Genomic DNA, 3,244 nt, shown 5'->3' on the forward strand with positions numbered 1-3,244 from the left:
ATTTGTGCATTTCACTATATGACAACTAACCCAAAAATTTAAAAGAACCATAAACAAAGATTGAACTCATGTTAATGATATTCATACTGAAGCATTTAGGGGTGAGGTATACAGATAGTTGCAACTTACTTGGAAATTCTGCAAAGTAAAAAAAAAAAGTGGCTTGATGGAGAGATAGAGGGTGGATATGTGATAAAGTAAATGTGGCAACATGTTAATTGTAGAATTTAGGTGGTGTATAAATTCTTTTAACTCTTCTGTATGTTTGAAATTTTTCATATTAAAATATTGAGGAGGAAAATGCCAGTTTCTCCTATTTGAGTTTAGCTCTTCAAGGGCAGTAATTTCAAGTTGAATGATGAAGAATTATATTTTTAAAAACAAGCAGGAATTGACTCTCCTTAGCATAATGTTAGTATTCAATACATTTTGATTAATCAGTTAATTAATTTTTTGAGTACAGGGAACTTTATTGATAGTACATGACAAAGTGGGCTTCCCAGGCCCCTCCTTCTTCAGGGAGGTCTGTGTGGAAATTGTGGGGAGGGGAGATTCTCAGTGTGGTGGGGAACTGAGTGTGGCAGGGACTCCCTAGCAGCTGAGGGCCTCTCTCTTCCTCTCATGCTCTCACTGCGGCTGGTGGTCTGGGGTCTTACTCCTTGGAGGCTTTGTGGGCCATGAGGTCCACCACCCTGTTGCTGTAGCCAAATTCATTGTCATACCAGGAAATGAGGTTGACAAAGTGATTGTTGAGGGCAATGCCAGCCCCAGCATTGAAGGCAGAAGAGTGGAAGTTGCTGTTAAAGTCAGAGGAGACAACCTGGTGCTCGTGTGGCCCAGGATGCCCATGAGGGGGCCTCCAATTCCTGCTTTACCACCTTCTTGATGTCATCATATTTGGCAGCTTTCTCCAGATGGCAAGTCAGGTCCATGACCAACAATTTGGCAGTGGAGACATGGAAGGCCATGCCAATGAGCTTCCCATTCAGCTCGGGAGTAACCTGGCCCACAGCCTTGGCACCACTAGTAGATGTAGGGATGATGTCCTGGAGAGCCACATGGCCATCATGCCACAGTTTCCCAGAGGAGCCATCCAGGGTCTTCTGTGGCAGTGATGGCATGGACTGTGGTTATAAGTTCTTCTATGATGCCAAAGTTGTCACGGATGACCTTGGCCAGGGGGGCTAAGAAGTTGGTGGTACAGGAGGCTTTGCTGATGATCTTGAGGCTGTTTTTGTACTTCTCATGATTCATGCCTATCATGAACAAGGGGGTGTCAGCAGAAAGGGCAGAGATGATGACCCTTTTGGCTCCCTCTTCTAAGACATCTCCAGCCTTCTCATGGTATTGAAGATGCCAGTGGACTACACAACATAATCAGCACCAGCATCACACCATTTGATTTTGGTGGGATCTCGCTCTTAGAAGATGGTAATGGGATTTCCATTGATGACAAGCTTCCTATTCTCAGCTTTAATGGTGCCATGGAACTTGCCATGGGTGGAATCATACTGGACCATGTGGATCATGTAGTTGAAGTCAACGAAGGGGTCATTGATGGTGACAGTATCCACTTTGCCAAAGTTAAAAGCAGCCCTGGTGACCAGACACCCAACATGGCCAAATCCATTTACTTTGGTCTTCACCTTCACCATGGTGTCTCAGGGATACAGCTGGTGCTGCATGACAAGATGCAGCTGTCTGTCTTACGGGAGGAGCAGAGAGTAATTGTATACATTTTCTACATGCCTTTCTTACTAATATATGGCAAGCATCTTTCCTTTTCATTAAGTATTCTTCTAAAACACCATTTTTAATAATAGAAAATTTGGGGATCTATTGCCCTCATTCTCACCTACATTGGGTTTTATCTTTTCTTTTAAATCTTTGCCAATTTAGGGAACGAAAAAGATATCTCTCCTTTATATTTTTGATTGCTAGTGAGGCTCTTCATGTTAATCGGTCTTTTATCTTTTCTATGAAAGTGCTTTTATTGGTGTATAAACACTCTTTATATATTAGGGTTGTTAGCATTTTTGTCATATGTGTTACAAATGCATACACAAAAAATATATTTGTTTCAGATTTTTAATTTTAATACACTTTTTTCATCATGATGCACTTAGATCTCTTGAATTCATTCCTCCTAACTAAAATTTTGTGTCATATGACCAACATCTCCTCAATCCGCCTTCCTTTGCCTCTACCATTTTACTCTCTGCTTCTATTAAGTCACCTTTTTTACACTCCACTGTAAGTGAGAAAATGTAACATTTGTCTTTCTATGCCTGGTTTATTTCACTTAACATAATGTCCTCCAGGTTCATCCAGTTGTCACAGAAAAAAAAAAAAAAAACAGGATTTCCTTTTTTTTTTAAGGCTAATGGTATTCCATTGTTTACATATGTTACATTTTCTTTATCCATTAATCCATTGATGGGCACTTAAGTTGATTCCATATCTTGGCTATTGTGAATAGTACTGCAATGAACACGGGAGTGCAGATATCTCTTCACCATACTGATTTCATATCCCTTGGATACATACCCAGTAGAGGGGTTGCTGAATCATACAGTAGTTCTATTTTTAACTACTTTAGGAACCTCCATACTGTTTTCCATAATAGTTGTACCAATTTACATTCCCACAAACAAATTACAATTTTTATTCACAATACTTTGATATAAAATTTTGTTTCTTATTTATTGTTTGCTTTTTTACCATGCCACCTTCAAAGAGACCTGGAGACATTGCCGGGGGTTGGAAACTGACTTAATAAAGAGGCTTGAGAAACAAAAGAAAGAAAACGTATTAAGGCAAATGTTTTAAGGAGTAGACAGATCTAGTTTTAATTCCATTTCAGCCATTAACTACTAATTGGTCGAGTGATTAAATCTCTCAAAACCAGTTTCCTCTTTGGGGATTGGGGATAATAATACTTTCCCTGAAGTGTTGTTGTGAGGACCACATAAAACAAATGTAAAGTACCTCTCTGGGAATGCTTTTGCACTGTAGGTGGGAATGTAAATTAGCTCAGCCCCTGTAGAAAGCAGTTTGGAGATTTCTCAAAGAACTAAAAGTAGAATTACCATTTTACTCAGCAATCCCATTGCTGGGTATATGCCCAAAAGAAAATAAATTGCTCTACCAAAAAGACACCTGTACTCATTTGTTTTTCGCAGCACTAGTCACAATAGCAAGATATGGACTCAATCTAGGTGACCATCAACAGTGAATTGGATAA

The 3,244-nt window shown here is 39.6% G+C and overlaps 1 pseudogene; it reads right to left on the reverse strand.

The window, feature by feature from the left end:
* GAPDHP28 (glyceraldehyde 3 phosphate dehydrogenase pseudogene 28) lies at window positions 454-1,725 on the reverse strand (annotated as a pseudogene).

This window comes from Homo sapiens, chromosome 10, assembly GCF_000001405.40.
Source record: "Homo sapiens chromosome 10, GRCh38.p14 Primary Assembly".
In the NCBI taxonomy this organism is placed as follows: Eukaryota; Metazoa; Chordata; class Mammalia; order Primates; family Hominidae; genus Homo; species Homo sapiens.